The sequence below is a fragment of the Homo sapiens genome, chromosome 1 (genome assembly GCF_000001405.40).
Source record: "Homo sapiens chromosome 1, GRCh38.p14 Primary Assembly".
Lineage (NCBI taxonomy): Eukaryota > Metazoa > Chordata > Mammalia > Primates > Hominidae > Homo > Homo sapiens.
The window spans coordinates 166,744,624-166,764,762 of record NC_000001.11 but is presented as its reverse complement, the minus strand read 5'-3'; the positions used below and the strand labels follow the sequence as shown (position 1 = coordinate 166,764,762).

The following is a 20,139-nucleotide window of genomic DNA, read 5'->3' as shown; positions in this document are numbered from 1 at the left end:
TCAGTAGGTGAGTGGGAGAGCAAGACAAGGAATGAAAGACCAAAGGAATGCATTATCAAATCAGCTACTTGGGGCTGACTGGGGCTTCATTCTGTGGGGAAACTCAAGGAAATGCTGTAGAACACAGACCTCAGAGTTAAACTCCTCAGGGAGGATGGAATAATCATATACGCCAAATCCTGTCGGTTGCTGTTTGAAGCTTGATCCCAGGCTCCCAGGCATTTTTGGTTTATTCCTGTGAGCAGAGTAGCTTTGAGGAAAGCCCACAGGCAAGTGATGCAAATTCTGGCAATTGGAAGTGGGCAGCACATGCTGAAGAGGTCCAGGCTAGAGAATAAGGGCAGGGTGCAGACAGAATCACCATGGCATCCCAAATTCCTCCTTCCTCTCGCCCTACCAAACAAACCAATTTCTCCTGCAGTCTTCTCTATCTTGCAGGATCTGTCCTTAGGATGTATCCACAATCCAGTCACTTCTCACCAGTCTACTACCACTAGCGAGATCCAAGCCACCATCATCTCTTGCCCAGGTTGTTGCAAACGCCTCCGAACTTATCTCCCCAGTTTTGCCTTTATCCATCGTCATATATTTTCAGCACAGCAGTCACAGAAATCCTTTTGAATTATGTCTCTGGTTTGCTCACAATGTTCCAGTGGCTTCCCATCTGGCTGTTTGCTCCTTCTCTGATATCATCTATTGTTTGCCCCACCATTTCCTCCTCTCCAGCTCCACTGACCTCTTTGCTGTCCCTCAAGCATACTAGCCATCCTTCTGTATGTTGTTCAAATTGCTTCAGTTCTCTCCCTGCAGACATCTGCATGCCCATTCCTTCCTCCTGGTTTTTACTGAAAAATCACCTTCTTGTGAGGCTTTTCTGGCTACCTAATCATTAAATCCTACACTGCACCACATTTTATATCCCTCTTGTGGACTTTATTTTTTCTTCCTAACAACTATCATCATCTAATATACAACACATTTTATGTATTAATATTTATCTTATCTTGTTTATTGCTTATCTCTTTTATGAGGGCAGATATTTTTGTCTGTTTTGTTTACAGTTATAACATATATGTTATATTACATACTTTGTTTACTGTAAACTCCTATATATATGTTACAATATGTTATATATATAAGTGCCTGACATAGGAGAAGATTGGTAAGCATTTGTTGAAAGCATGGTAGTAGCTTGTTTGAGAAATAAGAATGTCCAGTGCTGCTATTAGGGTAGAGTGGGTGAACCACAGGTGTGGCTTTCCCAGGTGAGAGATTTGGAAGTCACCCAAACTTACCTCATATATTCAGATTCCTCCAATGCTACTTTTTCTTCAAAGCAAATGGGCTGAAGTCTTTCCTCCAGACAGCGCTTAGTGGCAGCCAGTCCACTGACCCCAACTCCAATCTCTGCAATGCTTTTCACTTTCATGGTCTTTTGTTTCAGAAGATCAATTGCTCCTATGGGGATAAAAATCAGATTCCATTGTCAGGTAGCTTAGTTGGGACATCAGCATTTCCTAAGTGGTGGTAAGTTTTATTAACTTCAGCTTATATAAACTCTTCTCCTAACATCATCTTCTCAACGAACTGAAAGGGATAAAGATTTTGTACAGATCTATTGCAATCTTAGGAAGATGCTTAAATTTTACCTTGCTAAAAGAAAAATCTTGTAAGAATTTTCAATTTTTTTTTGTAGAAATGATTCAGATTTAGAAATTATTGTCAAGAATTGAATGTTTATAGAATGAATGAGTGGCATGGATGAATCTTACCTGTTGGTGCTAACTAGTTAGAAAATACATCCTCAGGACTTTATCAACTCATTGATGCTAGCTAGTTAGCATTAACAGTGCTGTCAGAAACTGGTTCACTTTGTTAACTCTGGGCCATTATAATGTCACAGTGAATGGATTGTTTTATTTCAGCCTACCATCAAAAGGCTCATCCCACTCTTTTCCTTAAACCTTTATACTCTATCTCATTTGGTACAATCTGTTTGATTTGGTTCTTATATCCTGATCCTCATATTCCTTGGAACGTTTTGTGTTTTACTATGGCTTGGCAGGAATGGATGCAGCACTTTCTATCCTTTATCATTACCCCATAGTCAGGCTCCATCAGATCTTTTTTTTTTTTCCTTTTTTTTCTCTTTTTTTATTATTATACTTTAAGTTCTAGGGTACTTGTGCACAACGTGCAGGTTTGTTACATATGTATACATGTGCCATGTTGGTGTGCTGCACCCACTGACCCATCATTTACATTATGTATTTCTCCTAATGCTATCCCTCCCCCCTCCCCCCACCCCATGACAGGCCCTGGTGTGTGATGTTCCCCACCCTGTGTCCAAGTGTTCTCATTGTTCAATTTCCACCTATGAGTGAGAACATGCGGTGTCTGGTTTTCTGTTCTTGCGATAGTTTGCTCAGAATGATGGTTTCCAGCTTCATCCATGTCCCTACAAAGGACATGAACTCATCCTTTTTATGCCTGCATAGTATTCCATGGTGTATATGTGCCACATTTTCTTAATCCCATCTATCATTGATGGACATTTGGGTTGGTTCCAATTCTTTGCTATTGTGAATAGTGCCGCAATAAACATACGTGTGCATGTGTCTTTATAGCAGCATGATTTATAATGCTTTGGGTACATACCCAGTAGTGAGATGGCTGGATCAAATGGTATTTCTGGTTCTAGACCCTTGAGGAATCGCCACACTGTCTTCCACAATGGTTGAACTAGTTTACAGTCCCACCAATAGTGTAAAAGTGTTCCTATTTCTCCACATCCTCTCCAGCACCTGTTGTTTCCTGTCTTTTTAATGATTGCCATTCTAATTGGTGTGAGATGGTATCTCATTGTGGTTTTGATTTGCATTTCTCTGATGGCCAGTGATGATGAGCATTTTTTCATGTGTCTGTTGGCTGCATAAATGTCTTTTTTGAGAAGTGTGTGTTCATCAAATCTTATAATACCTTATTACAAGGCATATCAAATCTAAGCTAGTATTAGTGTTCTTAGGAAAAGCTGGTCATTACTACTCGCTTTTTTTTTTCCTAAGAGCTATAGCTTTGCAGATGACACTATGGACCAACTGTCCATGTTCTCTGCTTCCTAGTGATCCTTCCTGACAGTGTTCTTGAGCTTTTTTGAGCTCCATGCATAAGGGGCTTTAGCCCCATCGTGGTCATCATACGGGACATAGCCATTTGCATATGTTTTAAGCAACTTGGGTGGGTTCACATCTAACCATTAGGACCTCCTGAGGATACCATTTCCCTTCAGGGTATCCCAAAATGACAATCTTCTTTCCAAACACAGGTTTTGTCCAAATTCATTTTAAATCTCGGGTTATTTTGTTCTTCCTATAGTGATGTTTAAAAAAATTTTTAGGCAATGAACTTTTTAAAAGCCTCTTATCTTGATCAGGCTCAGGTAATGTAAAAATACAAGGATGTTATTCCATTTGAAATTTTAAACAAGACATTTATTTAACATTCTTGTATGTTTTACAGAAATGTTAATTTGACATTTGGTTTTGTGTTCCATGTATTGTTACATAAATTGTGTATGTATTGTTTTTTAAAATAGACCATAAACTCCTAAGAACTATGTAAAAGGCCTCTGTTGAATTCCTGATTAGTCCAGGGTCTTGCACATAAAGGAAAACACAAATGTTTACTAGATTAAGAAAAGTAAATAGTTGTTGAACATAGTAAGCATTAAATAAATCATTGTCATTAAATAAGTCATTATAATACTTTATTAATGAATTTAAAAGAGCAGAATCTAATAGCTATTGCATTCTTTAAAAACTCAGGCTCATACTTCAAATCAATATTGGACCTGTTATGATAATAAATTATTATATCTTCCCTGCTCTAAGACATTCATAGCCATTAGGAGACTTGATTTAGAGTCTTGGCTTTGACACTCAGTAGGTGGGACACTTCGGCATGCAATAGAATTGTAAAATTTTACTGCTGTCCTTTTTTAAAAGCAGTAATTCTTGAACTTGTTTCTCTTTGCCCATGAATAACTTTGAAATGCTGGTAGAAGTCATGGAACTTCTAATTAGAAAATCGCATATACATTATGCACACAAGATTTTGCATACAAATCAGAGATTTGTGAACTCCCTGAAACCTGTTCATAGGTCCATGGACTGTCTCTAAGGTTGCCCAGTTGTGCTATCCATGAAACACAAAATTGTCCTACAATGAAGATGTTTACAGCTCCATATTGAGATCATTTGATTCTTTAATGACAAATTTTCTTAGATGGGAGATCATCCTGCCTCAGCAAATAATGTCAAGATCAAGCTCCACTGTATGGGCTACAGAAAAATATGACCATAAACTCATTGAAACTTCTGACATATTAAGAGACGAAATGCCATATATTTAAAATTGCCAGGTAGTAAATTGATTATCACTTTCCCTTTCTCTTGCCATACTCAAATTTCTCTCTTGGCTCTTTATAAACTACAGAAGAACATGCATCCTCAGGGCTTTATCAACTCATTAATTCCTTTCTTCCCCCACTCTGGCCTGTACTGTGAAAATAAAAAAACAACTTTGTATTATGTCTAAGTCAAGTGGAAACCCATAAGGAAAGAAATCATCACGTGGTAAGTAGAGCATTGGCCAGAGAGCCAGGGAACTTAGGTTTCCATCCTGGTGCTGCCTTCAACTGGCTCTGTATTTAATGCAAACCAGTTAGCCTCTTTGGTTCTGTGTCCTAATCTGTAACAAAAAGGACGGCCACTAAGGCCATATGTTGCTCCCAAATTTCATGGTATATGGAAAAACAAGCAAACAAGCAGGTAAGGGCTGGAATATTGGTAAGGTACAGTTCTATCCAGATTATTTTGCTTGGAAATATTTAAAGATGCTAACAAGCATTCACTGTAACTATTGAGAAGTACAAGTACCTGAATAGTCACCCTCTAATCTCCCTCTAATCTGCACTGGTTCTGTAGATAAAAAGCATTTATAATAATACAATGTAATAGAAACTCCCTTAATTAGTGAAACCTTATGCCATCAGCAGCAGAATGACACTTTTTTAATGGAGAAGAACCTCATCACAAAAGCAATAGATAAAGTTAAAAATATAAAAACAAACATAAAACGATCCAAAAGCACAGAATTCTTTGATATTCTCTAGTTTTACAAAAAAAAAAAAAATGTAAACTCAGCATTCCATTGTTGTAGGCCTCTAATTTGGTGCTTTCTTTTAGCATATTTCTGTTCTGTGCATTGGAAGCTGTAGGTGGTAGACAACGTCACAGATTTATTCAATTTACTGATATTTTCAAATCATGTTTTTCTTGTTCCTGTGAAACTGCCTTTATTTTCTTGTATTCTCAGATATGTTTTTGATGGACCATATCTAAGTCTATCTTTTAAGCTCATATACAGGTAACAGGATCTCTATTACTATGTTTCTGGGGGAGGAGGAAAGGGTACTATTTAAATGGCAGATCACTTCTCACATCTGCACTTCTCTTTTATAAGTAGGTATGGAATAAAAGGAGATAGCTATATAATTGTAACTGAGATCATATCATTCCTAAAGCATTCACAAAACTTTTGTTTTGAATGTATGAAACACAATAAAACTAACCTTAAGTAAGAAGAAAAGTCAAATGTGACTCTGATGTCCTGTGTCACAGAAAAAAGCACTTCTATATTCCTGGAACTGGAAGAGTGAATGTGCTGTCTCTTGTGCTGTCTCCTGGATAAAGTTTACCTTTTTGTGATGGTTCATATATAAAGACTCCTCCTTGTTTTTCTTTCTTCTAGGCTTGGCTTTCATAAATTGGCTACAGTTATAGAAATTAGCATGCTATCAACATTTTTTTTTTTTTTTGAGACGGCGTCTCGCTCTGTCGCCCAGGCTGGAGTGCAATGGTACTTCTCAGCTCACTGCAACCTCTGCCTCCTGTGTTCAAGTGATTCTCCTGCCTCAGCCTCCTGAGTAGCTGGGAATACAGGTGTGCACCTCCATGCCTGGCTAATTTCTTTTTATATTTTTAGTAGAGATGGGTTTTCACCATGTTGGCCAGGCTGGTCTTGGATTGATTTCAGGTGATTCACCCACCTCGGCCTCCCACAGTGCTGGGATTACAGGCATGAGCCACCATGCCCATCCCCAACATTTAAAAAATTGAGTCATTTTCATTAATTTCACATAGCAAGAGTGAGTTAAAGGTTCATATTAGGTAAAATAATATGCTATAAAGTAAGCATTTAATTTTACCGGGAGTTTTCAAAGAAATATTAAGTTTGATAGCTCAGATTTGTTTGAGAACTGTTGACATGCATACTGTGTTATCCTGATTTCTTCTCTCTGGCCCCAGTTCACCACCACCACCACCACCACTTGTGCCTCCTCATTTAGGAAAATTTTCTCTTCAATCACCCACTCAGCACTTTCTTCTGTGCTACCACTCTATCTGAGGTACATTTTATTTCACTATGTTTAAAATTTTCCCTGTATTTCAATTTTTTTTTACATGTCCATCTCTCCTTGTAAGATGAGATTCTTACATTGAGTCCATGTCACTCATCTATATTATCAAGATGGAATAAATGAGACTAGAGAAAAAGGATTGCAAGGAATGATAATACGAGATGGCTTCTGATGTCTAAAAAGAGTGAGTCAGTATTTAGTGCTTCCAAAACAAAGTAGTTAGTAGGCTTTCTAGTCAAATTTCCCCACACTAGTACTATGATTTACCACTTTATGTTACTGCATGGGAAATAAACCTTATTTAACAGGCCTGTTAAAAATGCATTAAAGCAGTCAGTTCTTGAAAAAAACTCCAAACCCCCAAAACAGAATTGCCACATGAGCCAGCAATTCTACTCCTGAGTATGTACCCAAAATAATGGAAAGCATGATCTCAAACAAATACATGTACATAACAGCATTATTCGCAATAGCCAAAACATAAAAGCAACCCAAGTGTCCATCAATGGATGAATGAATAAACAAAATGTGGTATATACATATAATGGAATATTATTCAGCCTTAAAAAGGAAGAAAATTCTGGCTCATTCTACAACATGGATAAACCTTGAAGACATTATGGTAAATGACATAAGCCAGTCACAAAAGAACAGCTATGCATGATTTCACTCTAGTCAAATTCATGGACACAGAAAGTAGAATAATGGTTGCCAGGGCTGGGCGGGGAGGAAGGAATGGGGCATTATTATTTAATCCGTACAGAGTTTTAGTTGGGGAAGATAAGAAAGTTCTGGAGATGGATGGTGATTATGGTTGCATAATGTAAATGTACTTAATGTCACAGAACTGTGCACATGAAAATCGTTAAAGTAGTAGATTTTATGTTTTGTATATTTTACTACAATTTAAAAAATGCAATCAAAAAAGCAAAGCCAGCTCCAAGTTTTTGCATCCAGAGCTCAGGCATTTCGTACTTGTCCCTACCACTAGAACACATCCCCTAGGTCCCACTCTGGCTTCTTCATCTGTGGCCCCCTGCACTGTCACACACATTACCACAGCAACTTGCTTCCACACAGACTCAGTTCAGCTCAAACTCACTCCACTGCTTCCGCCGTGAAGGCTTTGAGGAGCACAAACCACACAGCTCTAGCTTTATCCTGCTTAGGAAGAAATTTTACTATCATCCACTTCTGTCCAACCTATTTTGTTGGGAATCTTCTGCTGAGAACTCTGAGAAACATATCTTCTTGTCTGGTTAGCTTTTTACTAGCTCAAACATAGAGAAAAGTGTAAAAAATACTATAAAGCAGGGCTTCCCAACTGTGTACAGAAGGTCACTGAGGACTGACAAATAGGTGATTGGTGTGCTGAGATATTATGAATTCCTCAGTCCATGGTGGTGGCAAGAAGTGTCCTTGGGACTGCTGACTTGCTGGCCAGTCGCATTAAACTTTCAGCAGCTTCATATGTTGACTCATTGTGTCATAAACATTTTATTACATTTAATGATGTGCTACAAAGTAAAAATGATTGGGAAGCATTGATATGAGACATTTGTGTACAGCAGCTAGATTTAACATATACTGTCATTTTGCTGTGTTTGCTTTAACATTCTTGAAGGCATAGAGCATTACAAGCACAGCTAATGCTCCGTCTCCTCCATCTCACTCCCTTCTTGTTTGCCCCAAAGTTGACTGCTCTCCTGGAAGTGGTGTGTATTCTTCCTGTGCATGTGTACATATGGTTTTCTGTTCCTGCATTAGTATGCTAAGGGCAATGGTCTCTAGCTCCATCCATGTTCCTGAAAAAGACATGATCCTGTTCTTTATGGCTGCATAGTATTCCATGGTGTACATGTACCACATTTTCTTTATCCACTCTTTCCCTGCTGGGCATTTAGGTTGATTCCATGTCTTTGCTATTGTGAATAGTGCTGCAATGAACATTTGTGTGCATGTATCTTTATGGTAAAATGATTTATATTCCTCTGGATATTTACCCAATAATGGGATTGCCATGTAAAACAGTAGTTCTGCTTTTAGCTTTTTGAGGAATCACCATACAATTTTCCACAATGGTTGAACTAATTTAAACTCCCACCAACAGTGCTTAAGTGTTCCCTTTACTTTGCAACCTTGCCAGCATCTGTTGTTTTTTTTAACTTTTTAGTAATAGCCATTCTGACTGGTGTAAAATGGTATCTCATTGTGGTTTTGATTTGCATTTTTCTTTCTTTCTTTCTTTCTTTCTTTTTTTTTTTTTTTTTTGAGATGGGAGTTTCACTGTTATTGCCCAGGCTGGAGTGCAATGGCGTGATCTCGGCTCACTGCAACTTCCGCCTCCCGGGTTCAAGTGATTCTCCTTCTTCAGCTTCCCGAGTAGCTGGGATTACAGGCATGTGCCACCATGCCTGGCCAACTTTTTTTTGTATTTTTAGTAGAGAAGGGGTTTCTTCATGTTGGTCAGGCTGGTCTTGAACTTCTGACCTCAGGTGATCTGCCTGCCTTGGCCTCCCAAAGTGCTGGGATTACAGGTGTGAACCATCACACCCAGCCTGATTTGCATTTTTCTAATGATCAGTGATATCGAGCTGTTTTTCATATGCTTTTTGACCACATGCATGTTTTCTTTTGAAAAGGGTCTGTTCATATCCTTTGCCTACTTTTTAATGGGGTTGTTTTTCTCTTGTAAACTTATGTTCCTTATAGATGCTGGATTTTAGACCTTTGTCATTTACATACTTTGAAAACATTTTGTCACATTCTGTAGGCTGTGTGTTTACTCTATAGATAGTTTCTTTTGCTGTGCAGAAGCTCTTAAGTTTAATTAATTGTCAATTTTTGCTTTTGTTGCAATTGCTTTTGGTGTCTTTGTCACAAAATCTTTGCCTGTCCTTATGTGTAGATGGTATTGCCTAGATTGTCTTCCAGGGTTTTTATAGTTTTGTATTTTACGTTGAAGTCTTTAATCCATCTTGAGTTGATTTTTGTATATGATGCAAGGAAGGTATCCAGCTTCATTTTTCTGTATGTGGCTAGCCAGTTATCCCAGCACCATTTATTAAATAGGGATTTTTTTCCCCATTGCTTGTTTTTGTCAGCTTTGTTGTAGATAAGATGGTCATAGGTGTGCAGCCTTATTTCTGGGCTCCCCATTCTGTTCCATTGGTCTGTGTGTCTGCTTTTGTACCAGTACTACGCTATTTTGGTTACTATAGCCCTGTAGTATAGTTTGAAGTTGGGTAACATGATGTGTTCAGCTTTGTTCTTTTTGCTTAGGATTGTCTTGGCTATTTGGGCTCTATTTTGGTTCCATATGAATTTTAAAATAGTTTTTTTAGTTCTGTGAAGAAAGTTGTTGGTAGTTTCATAGGAATAGCATTGAATCTGTAAATTGCTTTGGACAATATGGCCATTTTAATGATATCAGTTCTTCCTATTCATGATCATGGGATGTTTTTCCATTTGTTTGTGTCTTCTCTGATTTATTTGAGCAGTGTTTTGTAATTTGCATTGTAAAGATCTTTCACCTCCCTGGTTATCTGTATTCCTAGGTATTTTATTCTTTTTGAGGCAATTGTGAATGTGATTATCTTTCTGATTTGGCTCTTGGCTTGGCTGTTTTTGGTGTATAGGAAAGCCAGTGATTTTTGTACATTGATTTTGTATCCTAAAACTTTGTTGAAGTTGTTTATCAGGTGAAGAAGTTTTTGGGGTGATACTATGGTTTTCTAGATATAGAATCATGTTGTCTTGCAAGCAAAGATGGTTTGACTTCCTGTCTTCCTATTTGGATTCCCTTTATTTATTTCTCTTGCCTGATTGCTCTGGCGAAGACTTCCAATACTCTGTTGAATAGGAGTGGAGAGAGGGTATCCTTGTCTTGTGCCAGATTTTCAAGGAGAATGCTTCCAGCTTTTGCCCATTCAGTATAATGTTGGCGGTGGGTTTGTCATAGATGGCTCTTATTATTTTGAGGCATCTTCCTTCAATACCTAGTTTATTGGGAGTTTTTAACATGAAGCGGTGTTGAATTTTATTGAAAGCTTTTTCTGTGTCCATTGAGATAATCACATGGTATTTACCTTTAGTTCTGTTTATGTGATGAATCACATTTATTGATTTGAATATGTTGAACTAACCTGTGTCCTGAGGATGAAGCCTACTCAATTGTGGTAGATTAGCTTTTTGATGTGCTGCTGGATTCAGTTTGCAAGTATTTGTTGAAGACTTTTACATCGATATTCATCAAGGATATTGACTTGAAGTTTTCTTTTATTGTTGTGTCTCTGCTAGGTTTTGGTATCAGTATGATGCAGAATGAGTTGGGTTAGAATCTCTTCTCCTCAGTTTTTGGGAATAGTTTCAATAGGAGTGGTACCAGCTCTTCTTTGTATATCTGGTAGAATTTGGGTGTGAATCAGTCAGGTCCTCAACTTTTTTGGTTCATGGGCTATTTATTACTGTTACATTTTCAGAGCTCATTATAGGGGTCTGTTCAGGGAATTAGTTTCTTCCTAGTTCAGTTTTGAAAGGGTGGATATGTCCAGGAATGTAGCCATCACTGCTAGGTTTTCTATTTTGTGTGCATAGAAGTATTTGTATTTATTTCTCTTGGTTATTTTTATTTCTGTGGGGTCAATGGTAACACTCCCTTTGTCATTTCTAATTGTGATTTTTTGGATCTTCTCTCTTTTCTTCTTCAGTAGGCTAGCTAGCAGCTTATTATTTTTTTCAAAAAAAAAACTGGATTCGTTGATCTTTTGAATGGTTTTTCGCGTCTCAATCTCCTTCATTCAGTTTAGCCCTGATTTTGTTTATTTCTTTTCTTTTGCTAGCTCTGGAGTTGATTGGTTCTTGATTTTCCAATGCTTTCAGTTGTGATGTTAGGTTGTTAGTTGGAGATCTTTCTAACTTTTCGATATGGGCATTTAGTGCTATGAATTTCCCTCTCAACACTGCCTTATCTGTGTTCCAGATATTCTGGTATGTTTTATCTTTGTTCTCATTAGTTTCAAAGAACTTCTTGACTTCTGCCTTAATTTCATTATTTACCCAAAAGTCGTGCATGAGCATGTTGTTTATATTTCCATGTAATTGTATGGTTTTGAGCAATTTTCTTAGCCTTCACTTCTATTTTTATTGTGCTGTGGTCTGAGAGTGTGTTTGGTATGATTCCAGTTCTTTTGTATTTGCTGAGGATTGTTTTATGTCCAATTATGTGATCAATTTTAGAGTATGTGCCATGTGGTGATGAGAATAATGTATATTCTATTGTTTTCGGATGGAGAGTTATGTAGAGGTCTATTAGATCTGTTTGGTCCTATGTTGAGTTCAGGTCCTGAATATCTTTGTTAATTTTCTGCCTCAGTGATCTGTCTAATACTGTCAGTGGAGTGTTGAATTCTCCCACTATTACTGCATGGGAGTCATTGTCTCTTTGTATGTCTCTAAGAAGTTGCTTTATGAATCTGGGTGTTCCTATGTTGGGGGCATATGTATTTAGGATAGTTGGTCTTCTTGTTGAGTTGAATCTTTTACCATTATGTAATGCCCTTCTTTGTCTTTGTTGATATTTGTTGGTTCGAAGTCTGTTTTTTCTGAAATTAGGATTGCTAACCCTGGTTTTTTCTGTTTTCCATTTGCTTGGTAGCTTTTCCTCCATCCCTTTATTCTGAGCCTATATGTGTTATTGCATGTGAGATGAGTCTCTTGAAGACAGCATACCATTGGGTCTTGCTTTTTTTTTATCCAGCTTGCCACTCTGTGCCTTTTAAGTGAGGGCATTTAGTCTATTTATGTTCAAGATTAGTATTGATATGTGTGGATTTGATCCTGTCATTGTGTTGTTAGCTGGTTATTATGTTGGCTTGTTTGCGTCGTTGCTTTATAGTGACACTGGTGTGTGTATTTAAATGCTAACATCTTATAAAAAGTATTTTTCATCATTTTATCTCTATTTGTTTCATTCTGTATAATCTCCACTGATGTATCTTCCAGTCCTCTATATCTTTTTTCAGCTACATTTAGTCTAATTTTTATGACTATCTTTTTCATATATGGAAATTCTTTTTTTCACAGTCATTTCCTTATGACTTAGGTTTCTTCTATATCTTTAATAATTTAAAACTTTATATATTCTTTGAGATTGCTCTTTTTATTCCATTTTCTTGCATTAGAGATTGGTCTGTTAACCCAATATGTGGAGAGCTATTCATCAGGTTTTTTTTTTGTGTGTGACTGCTGATACTGTCTCATTTTGTATCATTTTCATGTATATGATTTGTAATTTTTTGTTATGATCTCATCTTCAGTAATTATTTTTTCCTTACCTGTGGGAGTCTATACTGCAACCTGAAGTATAGAAGAGCAGTTTTACATCTGCTTTTGCTAGGTACTCTAGCATGTTTATGGTCTTTTAAGTTTTTGTTTTAGGAATTTATTCAACATGCGCATGGTATAAATTTGAACTCCAAACCCATGTGTGCCATATGCCTGGTGTTTCTGTCTTTCATGGAAGCCTATCACTCAGAGTCCTAAGAAAACATAGGCCTCCTCTGATGCTTCTTTAGGGCTCAGGGCAAAATTATTCTAGTCGCTTTTTTACTCAGAGGTTAGCTTTCTTAATACTCTGGATTTATGCAGGGGTTATACTCTGACATCTTTATCTCATGTGGTACTTGCATCTAGCTTGGTGTAAAGCTCCAACCCATGGTCTATAGGATCTGTTCAGCCCAATATCTCCTCTGGTCTTCTTGACATTGGGTCTTGAATGGGCTGCTCTGGCTTTAAGTTCCCTCTTCATTTCTGGACCAGAAATTTCTCATCTTTATTTGAATTCACTTTTTATTCTCATTTTTTTTGAAGGGAGTGAATGATTACTCATCTTAGCTCAGTCTACAAGTTGTTAGAAAAACAAATCTCTAGATCCTATTAATTTTTATAACCCAGAGCCTTTTATTAATCTCTACAGATCCTCTTTCACTTATGCATTAGAAATTAAGATATACTTAACCATAATGTGTGTATTTATACACACATTATGAGCATTATATATGTATATTTGTGTGTGAGTGTGTGTGTGTGTGTGTGTGTGTGTGTGTGTGTGTGTGTTCAATTATGTTGATCTTTCCCCTTTCTGAAAAGCCACTGGTTGAGGCTTTCAGTCATTGGGTTTGTACAGACCTAGAAAAGCACACAAATGAGGGCAGCTCCTGCACTGTGCAGGCCAACTGTTCCTGCACCAGCCAGCTGGAGCCCAGAAACATATAGAAGCCATAGGGACAATCCATTACCTTGAGTAGTATAAACGTCAGGACCCTTATGAGCCTTTGATGTATAAAAAACGTCTACCCAATGATATTTAGCAAACTAAATGGCTGGGATGCAGGCAGACACTGAAGACAGGCTCTGATGTCTGCTGGCTGCTACAACACTCTAATAGAGCAAGGACACATATGAATAGTTTGTTCTTAGTGCCCCCTTCTTGTATCCCTCTTTCTTTAATAATAATTCCTTCTAGTACACCATATGGTCATATTATTCTTTATGCTAACATGTAAATGATAGATCACTTTTTTAATTATTATTATTATACTTTAAGTTTTAGGGTACATGTGCACAATGTGCAGGTTAGTTACGTATGTGTACATGCGCCATGCTGGTGTGCTGCACCCATTAACTCGTCATTTAGCATTAGGTATATCTCCTAATGCTATCCCTCCCCCCTCCCCCCATCCCACAACAGTCCCCAGAGTGTGATGTTCCCCTTCCTGTGTCCATGTGTTCTCATTGTTCAATTCCCACCTATGAGTGAGAACATGCGGTGTTTGGTTTTTTGTCCTTGCGATAGTTTACTGAGAATGATGATTTCCAATTTCATCCATGTCCCTACAAAGGACATGAACTCAACATTTTTTATGGCTGCATAGTATTCCATGGTGTATATGTGACACATTTTCTTAATCCAGTCTATCATTGTTGGACATTTGGCTTGGTTCCAAGTCTTTGCTATTGTGAATAGTGCCGCAATAAACATATGTGTGCATGTGTCTTTATAGCAGCATGATTTATAATCCTTTGGGTATATACCCTGTAATGGGATGGCTGGGTCCCATGGTATCTCTAGTTCTAGATCCCTGAGGAATCACCACAGTGACTTCCACAGTGGTTGAACTAGTTTACAGTCCCACCAACAGTGTAAAAGTGTTCCTATTTCTCCACATCCTCTCCAGCACCTGTTGTTTCCTGACTTTTTAATGATTGCCATTCTAACTGATGTGAGATGGTATCTCATTGTGGTTTTGATTTGCATTTCTCTGATGGCCAGTGATGATGAGCATTTTTTCATGTGTCTTTTGGCTGCATAAATGTCTTCTTTTGAGAAGTGTCTGTTCATGTCATTTGCCCACTTTTTGAAGGGGTTGTTTGTTTTTTTCTTGTAAATTTGTTTGAGTTCATTGTAGATTCTGGATCTTAGCCCTTTGTCAGATGAGTAGGTTGTGAAAATTTCTTTGTATTCAAGCTGAGGTCTTAACAAAGAAAGTAAAGTATTATTATTGCACTTCTAAGTATACCAGACACTATGGTAACTGCTAGGCTTTCCATTTAGTTAAAGGTCATTTGTTGATTCCCACAGTATGTTCATGGTATATAATATTTTTGATGTGCCATTGGATTCAGCTTGCTAGTATTTTGTTGAGGATGTTTCATCTATGTTCATCAGGGATATTGACCTGTGTTTTCTTTCTGTGTTTTTATCTGGTTTTAGTATCAGAATAACGCGGGCCTGGAACAATGAATTTAGAAGAATTCCCTGCTTTTCAAGTTTTTGGAATAGTCTGAGAAGAATTAGTGTTAGTTCTTTAAAATTTTGATGGACATCATCAGTGAAGTAATCAGGTCTTGGGCTTTTATTTGTTTGGAGGCTTTTTATTACTGATTCAATCTTATTGTTTGTTATTGGTCTGTTCAGGTTTTCTATTTCTTCCTAATTCAATTTTGGTAGGTTACACATGCCCAGGAATTTATCCATTTCCTCTAGCTTTTCCAATTTGTTGGCATATAGTTATTTGTAATAATCTCTAATAATTCTTTATATTTCTGTGGTATCAGCTGTAATGTATCCTTTTTCACTTTTGATTTTATTTATTTTGGTCTTGTATCTTTTTTCTTCATCAATGTAGTTAATGGTTTGTCAATTTCGTTTATCTTTGAAAAAAACCCTTCATTTTGTTGATTGCATATTTTTAGTCTCTATATTGTTTATTTCTGGCTTGATATTTATACTTTATTTCCTTCTGCTAATTTTTGATTCTGTCTGTTTTTGCATTTCTGGATCCTTGAGATACATAGTTAGATTGTTTATTTGAAATATATATTTTTCATGTAGGTGTTTACTGCTATAAACTTCCCTCTTAGAATAACTGCTTTTGCTGTATCCCATATGTTTTAGTATATTGTGTTTCTATTTTCACTTGTTTCAATACATTTTTGGATTTTCTTTTTAATTTATTTACCTACCTTTTTTTTTCTCACTGCCTCTTTGATCAGGTCTTTATTCAAAAGAAGCTGTCCAAAATGATTTGACCTTTATGGAATAATCAAATTTAAGAGTTTATGCAGCAGGCTTCTTTTCCTCTGTAGTAGGTTTCTTTTCTGCTGGCTTCTTTCCAGGGGCTGGTTTCTTGGTAGCTGCTGCCCCTTTTTTCTACCAGAAGCTTCTTCTGCTTCTTAACACCAACAGCAGCCTTCTTTCCTTTCTTACCTACCACAGGCTTCTTGCCTGCAACCCCCTTCTCATCCGATTTGGCTTCTAGTGCTGCAGCTGTTGCTGCTGCCTTATCCACTCAGAGCTTGTGATTCCTGGCCTGGTGAAGAATGGTGTTCTGACGCGTGCATGGTCTTTGCATATGGGTTTAGCTTCAACATGATTCTCAGGTTTTTCAGTGGGTTCTTCTTTAGGACTCTGCAATGAATCTTTTTGCATGGTGCTCAAAGGGCTCTTTGGATCTCTGGGCTTTTCAAGATTCTGCTAAAGATCTGTATTGAACATCTTGTGCATGGGAAGATTGTAGTTACTCTTGAGGGAAGCAGCTTTATGCCAAGTGCTATACAATTCATCTAACTTCTGGAAAGCACTTTTGGTCCAAATGCAGAAATGTCCCACATGCCCACCAGGAGCAAGCTTCAAAATGTTCAGTTTGCTTACATTAAGCAGAGTAATTCCAGGGATGTTTCTGAAGGCCTTGATGATACCGTTATCCTCATTATAGATGATGCAGGGGCCCCTGCACTGGATACAGTGACGATTTCTCATTTTGCTGTTGCCAGCTCTCATTTGCTGAGAGGCATAGACCTTTTTGATATCATTCCAGCCTTTAAGTTTCTTAAGAAGCGAAACAGCCTCCTTGATCTTGTAGCCTTCAACTTTATCTTCAACTACCAAAGAAAGTTCAGGAACTTCCTCAATATGATGATCTTTAGACATGACCAGCGCTGGTAAGGCTGAGGCAGCCAGGGCAGAACAGATGGCATATCGTTTTTGGGTTGTGTTCACTCTGTGATGCCAATGGCACCAGGTTTTGGTTGGTGCAAACATTTAGCCTCCATGACACATGTTTCCAAAAGCACCCTGGCCAGAACGGTGAGTCCCACCACCTCGAACTCTGGGAATGTGAGCCACAGCTCTGCCAGTACCCCAAGACTCAGCACTGGTCTGACGACCTGCTAATTCACTGACAACGTAGGGCTGTCTGTTGTTTTTGTGCAAGTTGGTGTGAACAAAGTTCACAATATCCAGTCAAATAGGAGCCTTGAATACAGCAGACATAGTAACATTTTTGCCAGATGACTCCCCCTTTTGGGAGTACACCTATATCAGTGGGTGAGCACATGCCATGGTGGAGAGAGGAGACAGCCATGTTCCTCTCAGCCCAGCTGCTGCCACAGGAAAAGTACTACCTGTTGTTAAAGTCTATGTTGTTTAATTTCTATGTATTTGTACAGTTTCCAAAATTACTCTTGTTATTGATTTCTAGTTTTATACTAATGTTGTCAGAAAACATACTTGATATGATTTTGATTAAAAAAAATTTTTGACACTTGCTTTGTGGTCTAACACATGGATTTTCATGAAGAATGTACCTTGTATTGATGAGAGGAATGTGTGTTCTGCAGGTATTGGATAAAATGTTTTGTAAATGTCTATTTGGTTCATTTGGTCTATAGGGCAGTTTAAATCTGATATTGCTTTGTTGACTTTCTATCTAGATGATTTGTCCAGTGCTAACAGTGGAATGTCAAAATCTCCAAGTATTATTGTATTGAAGTTTATTTCTCCATTTAGAACTAATAATATTTGCTTTACATATCTGTGTGCTTCAGTGTGGATGGATACAAACTTATAATTGTTATATCCTCCTGCTGAATAAATCCTTTTATCATTATGTAATAACATCTTTGTCTCTTTTTTCAGTTTTTTACTTAAAGTCTATTTTATCTGATATAAGTAAAGCTACCCCTGCTCATTTTTGATTTTTGTTTGGGTGGAATATCTTTTTCCATTCCTCCATTTTTGGTCTGTGTATATCTTTTTAGATGAAGTGAGTTTCTTCTAGGCAGCATATATTTGGGTCTTTCTTTTTTATCTATTCAGCCAGTTTATATCTTTTAATTAGGGAATTTAATCAGTTTTCATTGATGGTTATTGATACATGAGAACTTACTCCTGTCATTTTCTTAGTTGTTTTCAGGTTATCTTGCATATCCTTTGTTTCTTCCTCTTTTATTGTTTATTTTTATAGCTTGGCGGTATGTTTGCAGTGACAAAAGTTGACTCCTTTTTTTTTCTTCAAATTTCTGTATATGCCTGCTACTGAGTTTTATACTTTTGCATGTTTTATGATGGTAGTCATCATCCTTTTACTTCTAGATGTAGGACTCCCTTAAGCATTTCTTGTGGGGCCAGTCTAGTGGTGACAAATTTCCTGTTTTTCTTGTCTAGCAAAGACAATCTTTGCTGGGTATAGTATTCTTCGCTGCTGTTTCTCTTTTAGCACTTTGAAAATATCATCTCATTCTCTCCTCATCTTTAAGATTTCTGCTGAAAAATCTGATGTTAGTCTAATAATGATTCCCTCATATGGGACTTGACATCTTTCCCTTGTGATAAATTTTAGAATTCCCTTGTTGTCTTTGACTTTTGACTGTTTGACTGTAATATTTCTTGGAAAGGATATTTTTTGGGTTGAATCTATTTGGGACCTTTAAGCTTCCTGAATCTGGATGTCTATACCTTTCCCAAAACTTAAAAAGTCATCACTTATTAATTCATTAAATAGGTTTTCTATGCCTTTTTTTCATTTCTTCTTTTTCTAGAATTCTTATAATGAAAATATTTGTTCACTTAATTGTGTTCCATTAGTCTCATAAACTCCCTTCATTCTTTTTTATCCTTTATTTTTTGTCTGACTGGCTTATTTCAGAAGACCTGTCTTCACATTCAAAATCTTTCTTCTGCTTGACTTAGTCTGTTGTTGCGCTCAATTGTATTTTTTATTTTATTCATTGAATTCTTCAACTCCACACTTTTTGTTTGGTTCTTTTTATGATATCTAGTTCTTTGCTGAATTTGTCATTAAAATCACAAATTGTTTTCCTGATTTCATTGAATTATTTACCTTTATTCTCTTGTGTCTTGCTTAGTTTTCCTAAGATTACTATTTTGAATTCCTTTTCAGGCATTTCATAGATTTTCTTTGCTTTGAAGTCTGTTACTGGAGAATTATTGTGTTCCTTTGGCGATGTCACGTTCCCTTGCTTTTTCATGTTTTATGGGTCCCTACATTGAAATCCGGGTATCTGCTGAAACAGTTACCTCTTCCAATTTTATCTAGTAGATTTCATAAGGAAAGACTTTTTTTTCTGTAAGTGCATCCTATTGTGTCAGTTGGGTAAAGTACTTTGGCTTTGGTTGTGGGTGAGCACAGTGCTGTAATCATGTAAATCTTTTTTTGACTGTAATCAATGCCAGCAGTATCTGTGAGTGCCTCAGTGGCCAAGACCGTAGGTGTTTGTGGAGGCAGTGGCATGGCTTTACTGCAGATGGGAGCCACTGGAAAGGCTATTTCTCAAGCCCTGCAGGGAGTGGGTGCTGCTAGATGTAGCAGCTCCTCAAGTCAAGGTTGTGGGTTCATTGGTGGTGGCAGGAGCTGGGCAGTCTGGTCCCTGGTTTCTGGGGCACATGCAGTACACCGTGGCTCTGGTGGTGAAGGGGACAATGTTGCTAACAGTGGTGGGCACTAGGCAGGTGGGTTTCAGGTCCTGGGGAGTGTATGCATTGGCTCCCCTAGTCTTGGGGACATCATCCCCACTGTGCTGGACTGGCTGTTGCATGAAGTTTAGGACACCATGTGAGTTTAGGTGCTAGTGTCACATCTGTACTGCTAGGTCAAGCTGGGGTCATGGCATTGCATCTTTTTATATGAGTGTGGTAGGATGACAGCAGATCCCATGATGTGGAGGTGCAGGAGGTTTGAGCACCAGGGCAGGGGGCACTCCAGCAATGGCTCTGTTTTCAAAATTGCACCATGGCACAGCAGCACTGGTCTGAAAGGGATACAGTGTGAGTTCCTTCACTGAAACAATATAGCTGT

General features: G+C 37.7%; 1 pseudogene; it reads right to left on the bottom strand.

The window, feature by feature from the left end:
* RPL4P2 (ribosomal protein L4 pseudogene 2) lies at positions 16,014-17,440 on the bottom strand (annotated as a pseudogene).